This window comes from Homo sapiens, chromosome 2, assembly GCF_000001405.40.
Source record: "Homo sapiens chromosome 2, GRCh38.p14 Primary Assembly".
Lineage (NCBI taxonomy): Eukaryota > Metazoa > Chordata > Mammalia > Primates > Hominidae > Homo > Homo sapiens.
This window is the reverse complement of record NC_000002.12, coordinates 61,105,431-61,128,502: the sequence shown is the minus strand read 5'-3', so window position 1 is coordinate 61,128,502 and position 23,072 is coordinate 61,105,431. Positions and strand designations below refer to the sequence as shown.

The following is a 23,072-nucleotide window of genomic DNA, read 5'->3' as shown; positions in this document are numbered from 1 at the left end:
AAAAATTATTTGTAGAGATGAGGTCTCCCTATGTTGGCCAGGCTGGTCTTGAACTCTTAGCCTCAAGCAATCCTCCCTCCCTGGCCTCGCAAAGTGCCTGGATTATAGGCATGAGCCACTGTGCCTGGGCTGTTATCCACTGCCTTCTGTTCTCCACTGCGTCTGATGAGAAGTCAGCTGTTGATCTTACTGGGGTTCTCTTGTAAGTAAGGATTCTTTTTTTTTTTTTTTGAGACAGAGTCTCGCTGTGTCACCCAGGCTGGGGTGCAGTGGTGTGATCTCAGCTCACTGCAACCTCCACCTCCCGGGTTCAAGCGATTCTCCTGCCTCAACCTCCCAAGTAGCTGGGACTACAGGTGCATGCCACCATGCCCGGCTAATTTTTTGTATTTTTAGTAGAGACAGGGTTTCACCGTGTTAGCCAGGATGGTCTCAATCTCCTGACCTCATGATCCGCCCACCTCAGCCTCCCAAAGTGCTGGGATTACAGGCGTGAGCCACTGTGCTGGGCCATAAGTAAGGATTTTTCTCTTGCTTCTTCAAGCTTTTCTCCTTGTCCTTGCACATTTTTTACTATAATGTGTGTTTGTGGATTTCTTTGCATTTAACCTCTTAGAGTTTGTTGAGCTTCTTGGATGTATAAAGTTTTTCATCAGATTTGGAAAGTCTTCAGCCCCTATTTCTTTAAACATTTTTTTATCTTCCTTTCTCTCTCTCCTCTCCTTTTGGAACTTCCATTAGATGTATGTTAGCGAGCTTAATGATGTCTCATATTTTTCTGAGGCTCTGTTCATTTTTCTTCATTCTTTTTTTCTGTTTATAATGTTATTTTTAGACAAAGAAAAAAGTGGGGAAAAGGTGGGAAAAATATAAGGATGGAAAACAGTTACCTAATCACTTTGGTGAGCTTATGAGATGCTCATAATTCCATAGCATCTTCCCCATAAAACGCTGCAGTGGTTACTTATCCAAGTGTTCATGTTTAATATACTGTTGAGATAAAAGGGTGGCCATCAGGTCAGCTTATTTAACTTTCTAGTCTGCTCAGAACTTGAAGCTACCCAGATTTCAGCAGAATTCACCTGGACTCATGCCTACATCAAACTAATCTAGTGTATCTTTCCATAGGGTGACAGACAAACTGATCTTGAGAACCCATGACAAGGTATTTGTGACAAGGCCTCTATCTGCTGAAACTCCAACAGGTGCAGATTAAAATGATGCCGGGCTGGGGACAGTCCAGATATTGGAGATACCACCCAAAAATATGAACTCCAGAGGAAAGGTTTTTAGTGTCAGCTGCTCCAGTCACTGTTCTAGGCACTGGGGACACAGCAGTAGTCAAGAAGACCAGGTCTCTGCTCTGGCGTTCACATTTTATCACGGGATACAGATTGCAAACCAACAAATAAAGGAAGGAAAGTATCAGAGTAATAATGTCAGTTATGCACAGAAATAAACTATGAGGATGTGATGAGAGTGACTTGGATGAATATTTTATACTAAGCACACAGGAAATACCTCCTGTGAGGAAGTAAGATCTAAATTAAAACCTGAATTATAACAGCCTTCTAGACAGCGGGAATGGCTAATGTCAAGGAACAGAAAAGTGGGAATGACTTACTATATTCCAGCGTAGTAAATAAGATGGAAAATGAAGTCTGAGAGGCAGCCAGGGGGTAGGCCATGTAGGACTAGTGTAGGTTGGAATTTTTTTTTTTTTTTTTTTTTTTGAGACAGTGGCACGATCTTAGGTCACAGCAACCTCCACCTTCCGGGTTCAAGTGATTCTCCTGCTGCAGCCTCCCAAGTAGCTGGGATTGCAAGCACCCGCCACCACGTCCAGCTAATTTTTCTATTTTTTAACAGAGATGGGGTTTTGCCATGTTGGTCAGGCTGGTCTCAAACTCCTGACCTCGTGATCTGGCCACCTTGGCCTCCCAAAGTGCTGGGATTACAGGCGTGAGCCACCGCGTCCGGCCTGAAGGTTGGATTTTATTCTAGGTTTGATGGGATGCTATTAGTGTTAAGCAGGGGAGTGATGTGATCTGAGCCACATCGAAAAATCACGAACGTCGCTTTGAGCACAAGTTATACAGAAGTTGAAATGGAAGCTGGGGAATTACTTATGAGGCATTTGTAGTACTTCATGAAAAAGATGTTAATAACTGGGGGTGGTGATAGTGGAGATAGAAGCAAATGGATGTGGAGTACGTATGGGACTTGCTGATAAATTGAATGTCAGATGTGAAGAAAAGAGAAGAATAAGGAATACTTTCTAGATATTTGCCTTGTGCACTTCGGTAGGCAATAATGCCATTTACTGAATTGGAAAAGAATGGGTTTGAATAAGCAGGGAGTTTGGGGGCAGGAATGGGAAGAGATATCACAAGTTCTGTTTTGATTATGTTAATTAAGTTGGAGATACCTACTGGTACTCCAAGTACAAATGTTAAGCAGTTGAGTAAACAAGCCTGAAACTACCGAAAGTGCACTCGAGTTGCCTGCTTTCAGTCTGAAGAAGCTGCCAGTGAGGCAGGAGGCCTCTAAGAGAAAATTTTCAGGCAACCCAAGGGAAAACTATTTCAAGAAGGTGTTGGAATGTATTGATAGACCCAGATTCCAACCCCAGTATGTAGTTTACTATGCCTCACTGAATGTTCTCTTCCACCTGTAAAATGAGGATAATGCCCAATTTGGTGGCGGGGGCGGGCGTTGTGAGGCTAAAGGAGATAAGGAATGTATCAGGAGCATGATCTTTAGCATAACCAAAGCATTCAACAAATAGCAACTACTAGGACCATCACCTTCAGTTTGGTAAGAATTGGCTGTGTTCATGAACAAATAGTAAGAAGCAAACTGGCTATATTTTCTCAAGGAAAGATACATCTTAGAAAGAGAGCTGCTGTTAGACTTTGCTATGGCCTTCACTTACTGTCCTTCAGTTGAAGCCTCTTTGAAAACAGCATAGCTCCCTACCACATAGTTCCCTACCACGTATCAGGAAACAGTATTCTTTACCTAGCTCTTTCTACAAATGCCACTTACTTTGCCTAAATAAGACATTTGATATGATTTGCTTGTAAGTTTCAAATGATGCCATAGAAACCACGAAAAGTATTAGGTGCCTCCTTTCTTGCACTAAATACATATACGCACACACATACACAGTCTTAACTCAAGTTACAGGAAAAGGGATATGAAACTCTCAAAGAATTTAGGCTACCTTCCACATGTTAACATAACAATGCAACAATAATAGCAAACATTTATGGAGGGCTTACTATAGGCCAGAAAGTACTGTGCTAGTTGTTTTAGATCTATTAACTTATTTAATTGCCCCAAAATCTTATAAGGGTGGAATAATATTATTCTTGTACCATCTTCCCCAATAGATCAGCTTTAAATAGGAGAAAGAGAGTTAGCCTATTAGAATTAAACTGGCTAGCTATCCCAGTCCTGAGAAGTGTGACACAGTTGCTCAGTGAATAGCTGAAGGTTGGCTGCAGAATTAATTCCAGGAATTAAACACAAAATACATTTTTTTTGGTTTCTTTTTATATTATAACGTGCCTTTAGTAGACAAGCTTGACAGAGCTTCAGCCTCAGCTTCCAAAGCAATAAGCACATCTCACAGTACCTGGCTGAGTATTGTGAAGAAGGAAAGTAACAAATAAATGCAATTGTGTACAATCAGCATTGTTATCAGATCATCTTTTCTGAAATATTTTAACCCTTAAATGTTTAATAAATCTTTACCAGCATAACCTCATTTAAAATAATCTTTTTTTTTTTTTTTGATAGGGTCTTGTTCTGCTGCACAGGCTGGAGTGCAGTGGCACAATCATGGCTCACTGAAGCCTTGCACTCTCAGGCTCAAGCAATTCTTCCACCTCAGCCTCCCTAATAGCTGGGACCACAGGTGTGTGCCACCATGCCAGGTTAATTTTTTTAATTTTTATTTTTGTAGAGACGAGGTCTCACTATGTTGCCCAGGCTGATCTTGAACTCCTGGGCTCAAGCAATCCTCCTGCCTTGGCCTCCAAAAGTGCTGGGATTGCAGACGTAAGCCACTGTGCCTGGCCTAAAATAATCTTAAAACTCAAAAATTTCACCTTGTAGCAGAGATAATTTTCCATGAAAACCTGTGGAATCTAGAGCTACTCCAGACTTTTTTTCTGAGAAGATGGAATAATTCAGATAAAGAGACTTTCCAAACAACTTTTGTCATTAACATTTATTTCAATTAAAGAAATGTGAATCCAGGATTAATGTAAGGTGAAATATTAAAGTATCTGGCGAAAGAAATGCTATTAAGAGTTTAAGTAAAATGTTTGCGGTACCAGTGCTATGTATAACAGACAAACATTAACAAAATTAAAAACACATTCTTTTTTTGTTTTAAATTGAGATGGAGTCTTGCTCTGTCACCCAGGCTAGGAGCGCAGAAACATGATCTCAGCTCACTGCAACCTCTGCCACCCGGGTTCAAACAATTCTTGTGCCTCAGCCTCCCGAGTAGCTGGGACTACAGGTGTATGCCACCATGCCTGGCTAATCTTTTTGTATTTTTAGTAGAGATAGGGTTTCACCACGTTGGCCAGGCTGGTCTCAAACTCCTGACCTCAGGTGATCTGCCCGCCTCGGCCTCCCAAAGTGCTGGGATTACTGGCGTGAGCCACTACACCTGGCCAAAAGCATTCTGAAGAGAATCAAATTCTGATAAACTCTGGTTTGTAAAAATTAATTCAGTGGTATAGGCCTCCCAGGGGAGAAGCAGTTTGCCTTTTTACCATCAGTTAAAAATCAAAAGAGCATATATATTTTTTCCTTATCTAGTCGTGACCATTACAGCACTGTTTACATGTACAAATCCAAATCCTTTAATCAGAAAACACAGTAAACTACAAAAAAAACTCTGGTATTTAACAGAGTACTTACATATAATATGTACTACAAGACATTTTCTTTCGAAAATAAAAGTCTATTTCCACAGTATCAAACAATTGAAACAAATATAAATGGGAACAAAATTTCTAAACAGCAGTTCAAAAACCTTGGCAAAGCCAGTTATCAAATAACATCTAGCTTCATTTATCAACTAAAAGACTCACTAAAAAGAATGATTTCTGTACGTGTAAACTGAGTGTAACACTTCAATATTTCAATGGAAATTGCTCTTTTGTCACACATTATTAAAGTCTGTTCTCTGAATAATTTGAAGAAATGTCAGTTATAAGGCAAATTAAGACTTAAAAAAATAGAAACAGTGCATCTTAAAGTTTTTCAGAGACCTACATATAATTTACAAACACATAATTTATTATATGGTTATAGTTTGGAACAAATTTTCCCTGAGCACTCTTTCTGCCTGGCTAGAAAAATTTAAACATGATTTATAAAATAGAATTTTATTTTGATTTTTCTTGAATATATGCAAATTTTCACCTATCTAATGTATTTGGAAAATTTTAGACCGAACTAGCAAGTATAACTGTTTTAAGGAGTTATTTGAATGGTTACAGAAATATGGTTGGGTTTTAGAGCCCTGAGAACTGTACAGTGGGTGTCTCATATAACAGAAATGATTTACTATCCTAAAACTATCAATGGTTATTTTACCAAATTCAGAATGCCACTAGTTTCACAGAGGACAGAGTAATAATCAGTAATTCCAGCTCAGATGATCAATAGATAAGCATTAAAAACTGAAAGAAAAAAAAGTTGGATTAACATTGTACTTTCCACGATATAATGCTGAAAAAAATTAACCCTTCTGCCCAACACAGTACTGAAATACCTTACCCTGAAACTTCATTTAATGCAGTCTTGAGACCTGTCACTCCTTAATATTCATGCAGACTTAAAATTAGCATCATTGGGAATTTCGTCACACAACCTGCAGTTCTCAATGCTATCTCAAGATTTACAGCTCCAAAGACATACTACAATCAGTGCCATGCATGGTAACACTACCAGTTGTGTTCCCCTAACTTTTAAGGTCTTAAAAAAACTTGGCTACCTGACAGTTTAGGCCTTTCTTTTTCAAATAAATAAAGGAAAACACTGGGAGTCTCAACTATGCAAATTTGTAAATAATTGCTTTCTACATAGCCTAGAATGATATTAGAAGAAAATCAGATTTAAAAAGTTTCATATTTACAATTAGATTTTCATAAAACCTAACTATGCATTTCTTTTAGAATTATGATTTATGTGGATTAAAATAATAATAACATAAAACAGTTGGAAGTCATTGTTCTGAAGATCTTCAAGAAGTGAGCAATTTCAGATGTCCAGAAGAGTGCCTTCTCTCTTTTTACTTATATTTTAAGGTACTTTATGCAGGACGCCCTTGACCAAAACGACTTTTAGACCTAGATTTTTTAAACAGAAAAGGAGGTCAGAATTGCTTCTAAAACAATAGGAAGTTGGTGCTCCTTTAGATTATGTTGGCTTGGCAACATCAAGGTTTAATAAATCTTCTTGCAGCTCCGTAATCCATTTTCTAAAACTCTTAACAGGAGATGTATTTTTGGAATTGAGATTTGTTACTTCTCAGAGATAATACGTTATGTACATTGTATATAATGGATCTGGAGCAGTGCCCCATAATCAAATATAAGTGGGATGAATAAAAAATATAAATGGTATCACAGCAGCTCAGTGCAAGTTTGAATTGCTACAAATGTATGAAAACACTTTCAGCTTTTTGAACTTTCTGGATTTCAGAATCATAAATAAGGAATTAGAATCTGTAATATTAATGTTCAAATCTCAGTAACTGTTAATCTCTAACAGAAAATTTGTGATGTAAAATGACATAAGACCCATCAGTTAGATTTTATTAAGAGAAATAAAATATAAAGCAAGGAGTGGTAAAGATTACAGTGATTTATATAAAGTATTAATATGTGATCTACAAACAGTACAAAAATTCTGCTACTTCCAGTAGCACTATAGCTTACATTTTTATCAGGAGTTGGCTCAGAATGAAGCTAGTCCAACAAGCAGAAAACTTTAAAAAATCCACAAAGCTATATTTTCATTAGATTTTATCTTTTAAGTTAAAATCTGTTTCTAATTAGTGCCTTGATAATATAATCATTGAAACAAAACATAAAACCAAACTCAAATGATATGTTTCTAGTGTTCATATGATTTATCTTAAAAAAAAAATTCACTTCAAAGCCACTGACACTCTGGTTTAGTTTATGCTGATTTACCTTGTGTTTTTCTCTGAGCTGCTTTGGCGTGCACTAACTGGCACTGAGGCCTTGATTTGTGCTTCCAGCCTGGAATAAATACCTCCTGCAAACTGCAGAATAAAGAAGCAATACTGTTATCTTCACAGAATCAATAGAAGCTCTGCTTTATTAAAATGGGATTACTTTTTAATTTAGAAGTAATTTTATTTTGATTTTTTAAATCCAGTCTTTTTGAGGTTTAATTTACATAAAGAAAAATGTACCATTTTAGTGTACAGGTGTGGGTTTTGACAAATGCATACAGTTTTATAACTACTGTCACAATGAAGACACAGAAAATAGTCCTATCACCCCCAAGAAAATTCCCTTGTTCCCCTGTCAAGTCGATCTACCTACCACTACCAATTTCTGGCAACTATTTGTCTGTTTTCTATCCCCATAGTTTTGCATTTTCCAGAACATTATATAAGTAGAATCATATAACATGTAGCCACTTGAATCTAGCTTCTTTCACATATAGGAGATTCATCCATATTGATGCATACATCAGAAGTTTGTTCCTTTTTTTTGGAGACAGCATCTCACTCTGTCAGCCAGGCTGGAGTGCAGTGGTGCGATCAAGGCTTACTGCAGCCCTGACCTCCTGGGTGATCCTCCTACCTCAGCCTCCAGAGGAGCTGAGACCTCACAGGTGTGCACCACCATGCCCAATTAATTTCTTATTTTTTGTAGAAACAGAATCTCCCTATGTTGCCCAGGCTGGTCTTGAATTCCTGGGCTCAATGTTCTTTTTGAGATGGAGTATCGCTCTGTGTTGCCCAGGCTAGAGTGCAGTGGCACGATCTTGGCTCACTGCAACCTCAACCTTCCGGGTTCAAGTGATTCTCCTGCCTCAGCCTCCTGAGTAGATGGGATTACAGGCCTGCACCACCACGCCCAGCTAATTTTTGTATTTTTAGTGGAGACGGGGTTTCACCATGTTGGCCAGATGGTCTTGATCTCTTGACTTTGTGATCCGCCCGCCTTGGCCTCCCAAAGTGCTGGGATTACAGGTGTGAGCCACTGCACCCGGTCCAATGTTCTTTTTATATGCAGTTTGTTTTCCCATTTACCAGGTAAAGGACATCATTTATAGTATTTCTAGTTTTTAGCAATTATGAATAAAGCTATTATAAAAATGTGTGAATTGATCTGTATGGTGAGGGAATGTCTATAAGAAATTGCCAAACTATTTTCCAAAGTGACCATTCCTTTTTGCATTTCTACTAGCTATATATGAGAGTTCCAGTTGCTCCACATCCTCATCAGCACTTGGTATGGGTTTTTCCCTTTGGAGACAGGGTCTCGTTCTGTTGCCCAGGCAGGAGTGTAGTGGCGTGCTCTTGGCTCATTGCAACTTCTGCCTCCCAGGCTCAAGCGATCCTCCTACTTCAGTCTCGCTAGTAGCTGGGACTACAGGCATCCACCACCATACCTGGCTAATTTTTGTTACTTTTTTTTGTAGAGATAGGGTTTCATCATGTCGCCCAGGCTGGTCTCAAACTCGTGGGTTCAAGTGATCCTTCCACCTTGGCCTCCCAAAGTGCTGGGATTACAGGTGTGAGCCACTGTATCCGGCCTCATTTAGGTTTTAATTTACATTTCCCTAAGGACTAATGATGTTGTATCTTAGCACATCTAATGATATATGCTTATCTGGCATGGAAATCCTTTTTTTCATGGTGTCTGTTTACTCTTTTGCCCATTTATTTTTATTAGGTTTTTAAATTTTATTATTGAGTTTTGAGAGTTCTTTATAGATTCTGGATACACATTCCTTATCAGGTGTTTTACACATATTTTCTCATAGTTTATGGCTTGTCTTTTCATTGTCTAAATAGTGTCTTTTGAAAAGTAGAAATTTTAAATGCTGATGAAGTCCAATTTTTCATTTATGGATCATGCTTTTGGTGTTGTAGGCTAAGAAATATTTTCCTAAGGTCACAAATATTTTCTCCTATGTTTCCTTTTAGAAGTTTTATAGGGAAGTAAATTTTTAAATAAAAGAATTAGGGCAAGAGTATGGTACTTACATAATACCAATACTAATGATAATACATAATGTCATGACTAAAATGTAATTCTAGCAAGAATATAGGTGTTTCTTGTCACCATTTTCAGCAAGATGACATCTTATTTTAGAGATGACATCTAAGCACTACATGCAGAGTTGATGAAAATTGGTACTTTCAGACAGTCGCCTGCTGGATAGTTAGCATTTGGTCAACAACGCACAGTTAACCTACTCTTGGTGTGATGACACATTTTCAGCAATGATGTACTTTATTATATGTGTTATAGATGACCTATGGACCATGGATAATAAGACATGGTGGAAAACTTTTACGTGAATAAACAGGCTAACTGATACAGAATATAAAAAAATACATAAATGTGGCCAGGCATTGTGGCTCACGCCTATAATCCCAGTACTTTAGGAGGCTGAGGCGGGCAGATCACGAGGTCAAAAGCTCAAGACCAGCCTGGCCAACATGGTGAAACCCCGTCTCTACTAAAAATGAAAAAATTAGCCGGGCATGGTGGTGCATGCCTGTAGTCCCAGCTACTTGGGAGGCTGAGGCAGGAGAATCACTTGAACCTGGGAGGTGGAGGTTGCAGTGAGCCGAGATGGCACCACTGCAAGTCTCAGTGAGTGAGACTCCATCTCAAAAAAAAAAAAAAAAAAAAACCAACAAAAAACCCCCACATATATTTGGCCAGGTGTGGTGGCTCACGCCTGTAATCCCAGCACTTTGGGAGGCCAAAGTGGGTGGATCACCTGAGGTCAGGAGTTCGAGACCAGCCTGACCAACATGGTGAAACCCCATCTCTACTAAATACAAAAAAATCAGCTGCGCATGGTGGTGCATGCCTGTAACCCAGCTATTTGGGAGGCTGAGGGAGGAGAATTGCTTGAACCCATGAGGCGAAGGTTGCAGTGAGCCGAGATTGCACCACTGCATTCCAGCCTGGGCAACAAGAGCAAAACTCCATCTCAAAGAAAAAAACAAACAAACAAACAAACACATAAATTACTCTTTTAAAATTCTGCCTAAGACATCTTTATAATCCTAAGCTGAAAATAAAAGTAGGAAGGCATATTTTACACAAGTACAATACACTAGTACACAATTCTTACTTCTTTTGCTTCCTTTGACTTGACTCGGTCCAGATCCCCCAATCTCATTTTTATTAGGTGCCCTGTAATTTCAGTCATTCGCCGTTGATCTGAAGGGAAAAAAACAGTAAACTTTACTTTTCATAAGGATGATATATAACTTTTTATTTCTCAAAAAGACTGTAATCACCTAGGGTTTATGAAAATATCCTTTGATACTATTTTACAGACACATACATCTATATATCTGTGAAGAATTTAAGTTAGCAAGTGGCAGATGACTCATCTGTGGATAATTGTGCTGCTTTTTAGATTACCATAAAACAGCCTAAAACATATTCAGTCATCTTTATGGTGAAAATAATGGGCAAAGGTCAATGTGAATGATCTCAAAACCACAGATGCATAAAATAATACATTATTCAGTGGGGTTGTCTAGTAATGAAACTCTGGTTGTTGCCTAAGGGAATATGCAAATTTGGGGCCTTACTTTAGCTAGAAACTCTAGAGCTATTCAGCATACTGTATAAAATGAAACACACACCAATCATTGCTATTTACATCCAATTTGTACATTACCCAAATAATAAAATTTACCGTCTTCTCTTTGTGCATCCTGGTTGAATCTCAAGGATCTTGTGGCATCCCACTTATTCTTCTGCATACTCATACTATTGAAAAAATTGAACAAAAATCAGCATTGATGCTTCTTTAAGAGTGGATATCCGATTGGATTAAGGAGCAATACTCACACGAAAGGAGACACATCTCTAGAAGCTGACTAAAAAAAAGTAGACAACATTAAGGCCCAATTAGAACATGTTTACTGATTAGTGCTATAGTTAGTAATAAAAAGAGTTCACTCTTACTGAGTGTGAAGACACTGTACCAAGAGCATTACAAGTGCTATTTCATTTAAACCTTGCACCAACCAAATGAGACAGGCACTATTAATATCTTCATAATAAAACAGGTTCAGAGAAGTTAAGAAACTTCTCCAAAGAGATACAGACCTAGAATTTGAATCCAGCTTCATTTGTTAACCTTGGAATCCCAGCTTATGCAATTTTTTTTTTTTTTGAAGACAGGGTCTCACTCTGTTGCCCAGGCTGGAGTGCAGTGGCATGATTATAGCTCACTGCAGCCTCGACTTCCTGGTCTCAAGTGATCCTCGCACCTCAGCCTCCTGAGTAGCTGGGACTACAGGTGTGTGCCACCATACCTGGCTAATTTTTGTATTTTTTTTTAGTAGAAATGGGGTTTTGCCATGTTGCCCAGGCTGGTCTCAAACTCTTGGGCTCAAGCAATCCACCCACTTTGACCTCCCAAAGTGCTAGGATTACAGGCATGAGTGATCATGCCCAGCCAGCTGATACAATTTTTTTTTAGAATTAACCCACTTATATGCCTGTGCTACTTAACACAAAGATGAATGTACAATGTGTCCAATGTAATTCTGTGGATCTTAACCCAGACTCAACCTATCACACATTTTTGAAATTCACAGTTTTTCTTTTAGCCAATGGTGGTTATTACTATTCTCTTATTCCTACCTGGCTTTTTTACCCCTTCCTTCAAAGGCATGGAGAAATAAGAATTATTTTTAAATATCATAAAATATGATTTATTTTTAATTTAAAAGACTATTTTTAATTTTTTGAATAAATAATATTGGTTTAAAATTCAAAAGGTATAATGGCACATATAATGAAAAGACTCTCACTTCTGTCCCTTACACGTTCAGTTCCCTTCCTGAGAGGCAACCAATTTTATCGAGTTCTTATGTAGCCTTCCAGAAACATTTTATGCATATACAAGGAAGTTATTTATATATTTCCCCCATCTACTTTACACAAATGGTAGCATACTATACCACTATACGTTTCTGCACCTTCCTTTTCTCATTTGTCAATATATCTTAGAGATCTTTAATCTCAGTCTATAAAAAACTTCATTTTTACATTGCTAGCATTCCATGTGTCTTCATTACTCTTTTTATTTTTTTCTGGCTATACTCACATGCTTATTTTTCCATATGAACTTTAACAACAGATAATTCAGAGTTACCTTCTCCAATGCCTTTTCTTTCCTCTGGGCACAGGGTGAAGATACCTGCTTTTTTGGTTGTCTAGTGAACTTCTTTGGCTTCTCCTTTTTCCCTGATAATGAGAAGACAATGTTATAAACTTAGGCCCCATATACTTTTCCAGTCCACTTGTTACTTCTAAACAATAAGACCATTAAGAAAAACATTGTTTTAAGAAAACTAACAAATTAACCTCTGGATAGAAAGCAAATATACCATGAAGCAAAGCTGAAATTGCTTTACAGGGGTTCATAAGCTGAAATTGCTTTACAGGGGTTCATTTTCTTTTTCTTTTTTTTTGAGACAGAGTCTTGTTCTGTCACCCATGCTGGAGTGCAGTGGCATGATCTCGGCTCACTGCAATCTCTGCTTCAACGGTTTAAGCGATTCTCGTGCCTCGGCCTCCCAAGTAGCTGTAAGAAAGAAGTATTGAAATCTCTAGCTATAAGTGGTAATCTGTGTATTTTTCCTTACAGATTTGTCTGTTTTTGCTTTGTATATTTTAGGGCTTTATAATTAGGCACATTTACATTTATACTAAAAGTACAAAAATTAGCCAAGTATGGTGGTGCATGCCTGTAATCCCAGCTATTCGGGAGACTGAGGCACAAGAATCACTTGAACCCAGGAGGTAGAGGTTGCAGTGAGCCGAGATTGTGCCATTTCAGCCTGGTGATAGAGCGAGACTCTGTCTCAAAAAAAAAATATATATATATATATACGATGAGTGACTTTATGCCAATAAATCTGACAAACTGGATAAAATTCCTTGAAAGACAGAAATTATCAAAACAAATTGAAGAGGCAATAGAAAACTTGAATAGCATCTATTAACTAATGAAAGTGAATTCATAATTTAAAGCCTTCCTATAACAAAAGCTCCAGGCCCATATGGCTTCACTGAATTTTATTATTCTTTTAAGGGAGAAACAATACAAATCCTACACAAACTCTTTCAGAAAAGGGGGTGATGTCACTCATTTTCTAATGTCATCATGACTCTGATATCAAAACCTGAAAAATACATAAGAAGAAAACTACAAATATCTCTCATGAACAGAAACAAAAAATCCTTAACAAAATATTAGCAAGTAAGCCCAGGCATGGTGGCTCACACCTGTAATCCTACCACTTTGGGAGGCCGAGGTAGGAGGATTGCTTGTGGCTAGGAGTTCAAGAACATCCTGGGCAATATAAGGAGACCTTGTCTCTACAAAAAATCTTAAAGATTAGCTGGGCATGGTGGTGCACACCTGTGGTCCCAGCTACTCAGGAGGCTTGGGTGGGAGAACTGCTTGAGCCTTGGGAGGTCGAGGCTGCAGTGAGCTGTGATCACGACACGGCATTGAAGCCTGGGCAACAGAGAGCCCCTGTCTCAAAAATATATGTATGTGTATATACACATGCATGTATATATACATAGATACACACATATATATATGCAAGTCCAATGCAGTGAGATGTAGGAGTTCAGTCAGGATGGTGGGAAAAACTGTAAAATAAACTTTCTTAGAAGGCCAGAAGGTTTTTGCAGAAGCCTCAGGATAGAGTTATGGCTGAAGGCAGCCTAATCCTCTTTGAGCTATAGCAAGGGTAATTAACATAGGAATGTAGAGCAGTCTATCTAAATAGCTTGTTTACTCATGTGGTTCTAAGACTAACCGTTGACAATCTGTGGGTGCATGATTGCTCTCTACTAAGTGGGTTGGCAACGGTAATTACATTCTAGTGGCATTTACTTGAGACTTTTGTCGTTTAATGTGTGCTGAATAAATGCTGGGAAGGCCAGCAAGTCTGGGTCGCGGCTGCAACTCTTTACAGCACTCTCCTGGGAGTCTGTAAGCGGCCCAGACTCTCAGCCAGACAGACAAGCATAATATCTGTGTCAGTGTAAGTTATTCATCTGTCGTTGGGTCAGGATCTGTGGATCAGACTCCTGCAGTGATATATAAAAAGAGTAACAAATGACCAAGTGGAGTTTACACCAGAATACTGGTATAACGTGAAAAATCAATCAATGTACCTAATTGATACAATAAAGGAGAACATCTATATGATCTTCTCAATAGATGGAGAAAAAGCATGTGATAAAATGCAACACCTATTCGCTATAAAAACTCAGCAAAATAGAAACAGAAAGGAACTTTCTCAACTGAGAAAGGACATTTATGGGAAGCTGACAACTGACATTACATACTTAACGATTAAAGACTGGATGTTTTCCCCATCAGACAAGGTAAGGATGTCTGTCTGTTTTCACCACTTCTATTCAATATCAGGTCCTAACCAGCACAAAAGGCAAGACATATAAATAAAAGGTATACAGATTGGAATGAAATCTAATAAATGAAGAGCAAATAACTGAATTTAGCAAGGTCACAGGACACAAAGTCAATATACAAACATCAATTGTATTTTGACCATCATTAGTATTACCATCAATGAGCAACCGGAAAAACAACTCCATTTATAATAGCATAAAAACACGGAGGAATAAATTTAACAAAAGATGTTCAACACCTGTACACTGAAACTACAAAACATTGTTGAGAGACATTAAAGAAGTCCTATATAAATGGAGAGATATTCCATGTTCATGGATGGGAAGAACTGCCATTGGAAAAAAAAGGAATTCACCCCAAATTGGTATATGGGTTCAACACAATCCCAACAAAAATCCCAAAAAGATATTTGTAGAAATATCCACACAGACTCTAAAATTTGTAGAAAATGCAACGTACCTTGAAAGGCCAAAATAATTTAAAATTAAAGAATAATTTTGGAGGACTCACACCACCAGGTTTCAAGACTCACTAAAATCTACAAAAATTAACAGTGTGGTATTGATATGCTGATGTAAAGAAAGACATAAGAATCAATGGAAGAAAACACAGTTTGGAAATGGGGCCACATGTAAATGGTCAACCGATTTTTAACATGCCAAGGTAATCCAATATGTTAGAACAGAATAGTCTTTTCAATAAACGGTGCTGGAACAACCGGCTATGCCTATGGAAAAAAAGGAAGCTTGACCCTTAACTCATACAAAAAAATTAACCTGAATGGGATCATAATCTTAAATAAAAAGCTAAAATCATACAACTTCTAGAAGAAAACACAGCAGAAAATCTTTGTGACTTTGAGGTAGGCAAATACTTCTTAGCTATTAAATAATGGAACATAAAAAGGAAAAACTAAAAAATTAGAATTCACAAAATTTAAAACTTTAGCTCTTCAAAATACATCATTAAGAAAATTAGGCCTGGTGAGGTGGCTCATGCCTGTAATCCCAGCAGTTGGGAGGCCGAGGCAGGCGGATCACCTGAGGTCAGGAGTTCGAGACCAGCTCCGCCAACATGGCAAAACCCCATCTCTACTAAAAATACAAAAAGTAGCCCAGTGTGGTGGTGCACACCTGTAATCCCAGCTACTCGGGAGGCTGAGGCAGAAGAATCGCTGGAACCCAGGAGGCAGAGGTTGCAGTGAGAGATCGCACCTCTACACTCCAGCCTGGATGACAGAACAAGACTCTATCTCAAAAAAAAAGAAAAAAAAAAGAAAATTAAAAGGCAAGGCATAGACTAGGGGAAATATTGAGAAACATATGGCTGACAAAAAAGACTTAGATCTAAAGTATATACAAAGAAATCTTACAATTCAATAATAAGGCAAATGATCCAATAAAAATGGGCCAAAGATTTAAACAAACACTTCATAAAAAAGATATATAAATGGTCAGTAAAAACATGAAAAGTTGCTTAACACTATCTACCCACTAGAATGGCTAAAATTAAAAAGACCAATAATACCAAGTATTGATGTGAATGTGCAGCAACTGGAACTCTCATACACTACTGGTGGGAATGCACAGTGGTGGGACTGCTCCACTGCTTGTAGAGATGCAAAACGGCCACTTTGCAAAACAATTTGGCAGTTTCTTATAAAGTGAAACATACACTTACCATATGATCTAGTAATTTCACTCCTAAGTATCTACTCAAGAAAAATGAAAACACATGTCCACACAGACTTGTATGCAAATGTTCACAGCAGCATTATTCACAACAGCCAACAAGAGGAAAGCACCCATATGCCCATGAAATTGGGAATGGATAAACAAAGTATGGTATAGCCATACAATGGAATACTACTCTGCAATAAAAAGGAATAAACTACTGACACATGCAATAATATGGATGAATCTCAAAAACCTCATACTAAGTGAAAGAAGCCAGGAACAAAAAACTACTCATGATTCCATTCATATGAAACCCTAAGAAAGGTAAATTGTTTTGACAAAACAGATTCATGGTTGCCTGAGAGCAGAACTGGAGAAAGGGAACTGAGTACAAAGGGGGACGAAGGAACTTTTTGAAATGATGTTCTAGATTTTTATTTTGGTGGTGGTTACACATCTGTGTGCCAAAACTCATCTACATGTACACTTAAAATGGGTGAATTTTGTAACATATAACTTATACCTCAATCAAACTGTTGAAAAGAAACATTGTAGAATTTTCTCCTTTACTAATTAAAATGGACACAAAATTGCTAAAGAACCAGCTTTTTCATTGGAGGATTCGAGATGTTAAGAAAAATTACGTAAAACTTGGAGAGAAGATAAAGGGAAGGCAGCATGTTTTTTCTTTTCTTTTTTTTGAGACGGAGTCTCGCTCTGTCGCACAGGCTGGAGTGCAGTGGCACAATCTCGGCTCACTGCAAGCTCCGCCTCCCAGGTTCACACCATTTTCCTGCCTCAGCCTCCCGAGTAGCTGGGACTACAGGTGCCCGCCACCACGCCTGGCTAATTTTTTGTATTTTTAATAGAGAAGGGGTTTCACTGTGTTAGCCAGGATGGTCTCGATCTTCTGAGCTCGTGATCCGCCCGCCTCGGCCTCCCAAAGTGCTGGGATTACAGGTGTGAGCCACTGCGCCTGGCTGCAGCATGTTTTTTCAATGTCATTGGAGGGTTGTTTAACATGCCTACTCAAGAATCATTCAATTCTCTAAGAGAATGTCCCATGTCTGACTACCATCTACTGATGGCATCTGAAAGTTACATGTTAACTTTCAGGTTTTTGTGTCTAATAAAAATGCAAATTATTTCTAAAAAGATAACCTAAGAGTTACGGGTTCACTAAGTTGTATGACACTGATCAATTTTGTATCTAACTTACAATCTTCTTTTAACTTTTTTTTTTTTTAGATGGAGTTTCACTCTGATTGCCCAGGCTGGAGTGCAATGGGATGGTCTCGGCTCACTGCAACCTCCCCTTCCTGGGTTCAAGTGATTCTCCTGCCTCAGCCTCCTGAGTAGCTGTGATTACACGCACCTGCCACCATGCCCAGCTAAGTTTTGTATTTTTTTTTTTTGAGACAGAGTCTCGCTGTGTCGCCCAGGCTGGAGTGCAATGGCACAATCTTGGCTCACTGCAACCTCCGCCTTGCGGGTTCAAGCAGTTCTCCCACCTCAGCCTCCCAAATAGCTGGGATTACAGGAACCCGTCATTATGCCCGGCTAATTTTTGTATTTTTGTAGAGACCGGGTTTCACCACGTTGGCCAGGCTGCTCTTGAACTCCTGACCTCAGGTGATCCGCCTGCCTCGGCCTCCTAAAGTGCTGAGATTACAGGCATGAGCCATCGTGCCCGGCCTAATTTTTGTATTTTTAGAAGCAACAGGGTTTCACCATGTTGGCCAGGCTGCTCTCGAACTCCTGACCTCAGGTGATCTGCCTGCCTCGGCTTCCCAAAGTGCTGGGATTACAGGGATGAGCCACTGCGCACAGACCAACATTCTTTTTTCAAAAGTAGTATAATGGAATACCACTCTGCAATAAAAAGGAATAAACAATATGAATGAATCTCAAAAACCTTATACTAAGAGAAAGAAGCCAGAGACAAAAGATTACTCATGATTCTATTCATATGAAATCCTAAAAGAGGTAAATTATTGTGACAAAACAGATTCATAATTGCCTATAAATACTTGAGTCTTCAAAGTCTCTTTGAACCAATTTTCCTTGCTGTTTCTCGGAACTAATGAGTTCAGAAATTTTGACACAAGTTAATTTTATAGTTGTACAATAGCCATGCTCTCGGCCGAGCACAGTGGCTCACGCCTGTAATCCCAGCACTTTGGGAGGCCGAGGCAGGTGGATCATCTGAGGTCAGGAGTTCAAGACCAGCCTGATCAACATTGTGAAACCCCGTCTCTATTAAAAATACAGAAAAATTAGCTGAGTAGTCCGAGCTACTCAGGAGACTGAGGCAGGAGAATTGCTTGAACCCAGGAAGTAGAGGTTGCAGTGAGCCAAGATTGCGCCACTGTGACAGAGTGAGACTCTGCCTCAAAAAAAAAAAAAAAAAAACAAACACAAAAAAAACATGCTTTCCACTAAAAAAAAAAATCATACATTGATGAATGTTATTTAATGGTTCATTTGAGTATCACTCCAAATCATCTCAGCTACACGTCTCAGATCACATTTCATCTGAAATGAGTCACACATTTAGTTGCACCTGAAGTGAAAACCTGGAGAGTTCTTTCTCAGTGTACTGCCCTTTCTTTACAGCTTTGAGTATTTTGTGTTCATGCCCGGGTTAGGAAATCTTGATGGTGTCTCCTTTCAATTTTTTTTCTATGTTGCAACCTACTCTCTATATAAAACCAATTCCCCATCCCTTGCATTAAAGGCTTCAGAATGTAACCCCTTCATAAACAGGGAGATTTGATTTTAACTTATAAACCAATACTTTGTTTCTTGGATACTTCTTCTTCATCTCCAACTTCATCTTCAGTGACCTCAGATCCAGTGGTATATTCTTCTTCTTCTGAAAACAGTGACTGTTGTTTCTAAGTTAAAAAAAAATCTATTATAAATGTAATATTATGATTTTTTATTGAATTCTTTCAAACATATTTACCTAAATTTCTTTTGAATGAATCAGTCAATCAAGAGCTGATAAAATAACCTCTGGCTAGCACAATATCCAGGAAATAGACATAAGAATTTTTATATTTGGAGCAGGCTTACATTACTTCATATATTTTTTAATTCCTTCACAGAACCTAGAACAGTAGTAGGCACATAAGTACTCAGTATTTGTTGAATTGTACCTCTATCACTCAAGTAAATGTATATTCCTTGATATTAAGATTAAATTACAATATAGTAACCACCAATATTAAAGTAGTCTTATAAACAAGCACATATGCACATTCTCTGGGTGAATGTGGTCCTGGATTATTTAACCATATCTGCATTACTTTCCTGCATCTCTGTGCCCTACTGTCTGTTATCACTAATCCAAATTCCTGTTCCATTCTTGTGAATATTGATGGCAGACAGCATAGTACTGGCAAACAGGTAAAAAAAAAAAAGCCAACCCTTCACTCAAACAATCAAATAACTGGAACTTAACAAGTTTGTTGCTTTGTTCAATGTCCTAAATATGACATAAGAGTGACTTTAAAAAATCGTTTAACTAGATCTATGGATTATGCAGCCAGACATGGAATATGAGTCTGTCTTAAATAATTTAATGGCATTTTTACTTAAGTGCAAAATAGGAGAATCTGAAAAGGAAGATGTACATTTAACTAAAATTTGTAAAATAAGATACTGATAAGATTCTATTAAACTAAACTTTAATTTAGGAAGAAAGAGATCCATGAATGCTAACTGTAATTGCTCACTTACCAGTTGTAGAGTCCAGTTTTTCAATGACAAGAACTACAAGACAGGAATAAGAGATTAATAAATCTGCATTTACCTAGATTGCAGCTCCTTATTTTGATATAGATACTGTAGAAGAGTTGAAAAAAGTTACAAATATAGTTCCCTTCCAGGCTGAAACATAATTTAAAACTCAGGCTGAAAGTGATATGTTACAGTCTTTAATATCCTCTGCTAGAGGAGGATGTGGATGTTTTCTAAAAGAAAGACACTTTCCCAGTATTATTTCCAAAGGACAAGTAAATCACGTACAAGAAAATTACTAAAATAATTTTAGTTATTTTTAGAACTATTTCAATCACTTTTTAATGTTTATATTTTAATATAAATTAAGGAAGCAGACTACATATGGACATTCAATAAATCTAGTTTGTTGTTTGACATATAATTAATAAATAAATGTTAATGTGTGAATTTTTTTTTTTTTTGAGACAGAGTCTCACTCTGTCACCCAGGCTGGAGTGCAGTGACACGATCTCCACTCACTGCAACCTCCGCCTTCTGGGTTTAAGCGATTCTCCTGCTTTAGCCTCCCGAGTAGCTGGGATTACAGGCACATGCCACTGCGCCCAGCTAAATTTTGTATTTTTAGTAAAGACAGGGTTTCGCCATCTTGACCAGACTGGTCTTGGACTCCTGATCTCAGCCTCCCAAAGTGCAGGGATTACAAGCATGAACCACCATGCCCGGCATGACTGAATATTTGTATAGCTGTCTGAAGTTTATAAAGCACTTCACAGGGAATATTTCACTTTCTCAAGTAAAAGCTATCTTAACCAACACAAAGACAGAACATTCATAGGCAAATATATTCCCTGGTCCTTAGTAACAAAGGCAAAGGAATAAAAAGGAGTCAAAGGAATCAAGTTTTCTGGTCACTTTAAAAATATTTCAGTTTTGAAACTTTTGTGTGTTTGTTTTTTGAGACAGGGTCTCACTCTGTCACCCAGACTCCAGGCTGGAACTTTTGAAGAATTTAAATATATTCCTAATTACAATAAAAGGATAATTTTATGCCAAAAAAAGTTTACAGAAGCAGAAGGAAACAAAATATCCATTCATGCTATCTTCATTCCTCAAATCATTTGTCCATAATAAAAACCTTAAAGACCATGTTATGTTTTGGGTTTTTCTTTTTTTTTTTTTGAGACAGAGTCTCCCTCTGTCACCCAGGGTGGAGTGCAGTAGTGTGATCTCGGCTCACTGCAACCTCTGCCTCCTGGGCTTAAGCAATCTTCCCACCTCAGCCTCCCAGCAAAACTTGGACTACAGGCACAAGGCACCACACTTGGCTAAGTTTTAAACCTTTTTTGTAGAGATGAGGTCTCACTATATTGCCCAGGCTGGTCTCAAACTCCTGGGCTCAAGCCATCTTCCTGCCTCAACCTCCCAAAGTGCTGGGATTACAGGTCTGAGTCACCGTGGCTGGCCCCATGTTGTTTTTTTCCCTAAATTTAAATGTATTCATTATTAATTCTTTGAGGGCAAGAAATGTGTCCTATTGCCCTTAGAGTCCTATTACTAGGCATAATACCTTCTTATGATTAGGTAGTCAGTTCAATTTCAACTTAAACTGATCAGGTTCCTGTCAAAGATTAAATGTCATTAATTATTTATGTAAATAAAGAATAAGTGAAAAAAAACTACTCACAGCATTGAGCTCCCCAGTTTTGGGACCCCATGGTGTATTTGGCTCCAGTAAAACATCACATTCTATACCCTTTTCATCACAGAGGCCAACCCCAACATCACTTGAAAGAAAAAGACATTTTTACGGAGAAGAGTTTACTTTCTTAAAAATTTAAATGTGAATATCTTTTTATTACAAATGTTTCAAAAATCGCTTTTTAGAAATACAGTTCCTGAGTATAAGGATATCACGTCAACAATGACATTTCCTTTTTTTTTTTTTTTTTTTTTTTTGAGATGGAGTCTCGCTCTGTCACCCAGGCTGGAGGGCAATGGCATGATCTTGGCTCACTGCAACCTCTGCCTCCTGGGTACAAGCGATTCTCCTGCCTCAGCCTCCCGAGTAGCTGGGATTACAGGCACCCACCATCATGCCTGGCTAATTTTTGTATTTTTGTAGAAACGGGGTTTCACCATGTTGGCCAGGCTGGTCCTGAACTCTTGACATCAGGTGATCCACCCGCCTTGGCTCCCAAAATGCTGGGATTACAGGTGTGAGCCACCGCGCCCAGCCAACGATGACATTTCTTAATTCGTCCAGTGATTCCTCTAGCAAAAGACACCCCATTCAGCAAGCACCATTGTACTTGACGCATCATACCTATGAGGTGGTGGAATGGGCTGCTATAATTGGTACTGCTTTAAGAACAGCCTTGGCTGGGCACAGTGGGTCACGCCTCTAATCCCAGCACTTTGCGAGGCCGAGGCGGGCGGATCACGAGGTCAGGAGATTGAGACCATATTGGCCAACATGGCGAAACCCTGTCTCTACTAAAATACAAAAAATTAGCCAGGCATGGTGGCACATGCCTGTAATCCTAGCTACTTGAAAGGCTGAGGCAGGGCAATTGCTTGAACCCGGGAGGCGGAGGTTGCAGTGAGCTGAGATCGCACCACTGCACTCCAGCCTGGTGACAGAGCGAGACTCCATCTCAAAAAAAAAGAAAGGAGGGGGGTGCGGCCAGGCGCAGTGGCTCACGCCTGTAATCCCAGCACTTCAGGAGGCAGAGGCGGGTGGTTCACGAGGTCACGAGTTCGAGACCAACCTAGTCAACATGGTGAAACCCTGTCTCTACTAAAAATACAAAAATTAGCTGGGTGTGGTGGCGGGTGGCTGTTAATTCCAGCTACTTGGGAGGCTGAGGCAGGAGAATGGCGTGAACCCGGGAGGCAGAGGTTGCAGTGAGCCAAGAT

General features: G+C 38.7%; 1 protein-coding gene across 7 annotated transcripts in view; it reads right to left on the bottom strand.

Annotated features, from left to right (window-relative positions):
• The window catches only part of SANBR (SANT and BTB domain regulator of CSR), a 72,162-nt gene that overhangs the window by 9,530 nt on the left and 39,560 nt on the right, over positions 1-23,072 (bottom strand). For 4 of the 7 annotated variants that reach the window (NM_001129993.3, NM_001330434.2, NM_001330432.2 and 1 more), the window contains 9 exons: positions 21,841-21,940; positions 20,154-20,186; positions 19,207-19,306; positions 12,433-12,524; positions 11,118-11,146; positions 10,963-11,036; positions 10,387-10,475; positions 7,227-7,318; positions 4,223-6,377 (listed from right to left, as the gene is read on the bottom strand). In NM_001129993.3, the coding sequence (NP_001123465.1) occupies positions 6,341-6,377; positions 7,227-7,318; positions 10,387-10,475; positions 10,963-11,036; positions 11,118-11,146; positions 12,433-12,524; positions 19,207-19,306; positions 20,154-20,186; positions 21,841-21,940 (646 nt within the window). In that variant the 3' untranslated portion in view covers positions 4,223-6,340. Of the gene's footprint in view, positions 1-4,222; positions 6,378-7,226; positions 7,319-10,386; positions 10,476-10,962; positions 11,037-11,117; positions 11,147-12,432; positions 12,525-19,206; positions 19,307-20,153; positions 20,187-21,840; positions 21,941-23,072 lie in introns of those variants that run through there. The other 3 variants (NM_001330433.2, NM_001330435.2, NM_032506.4) reach the window with 1 other exon arrangement.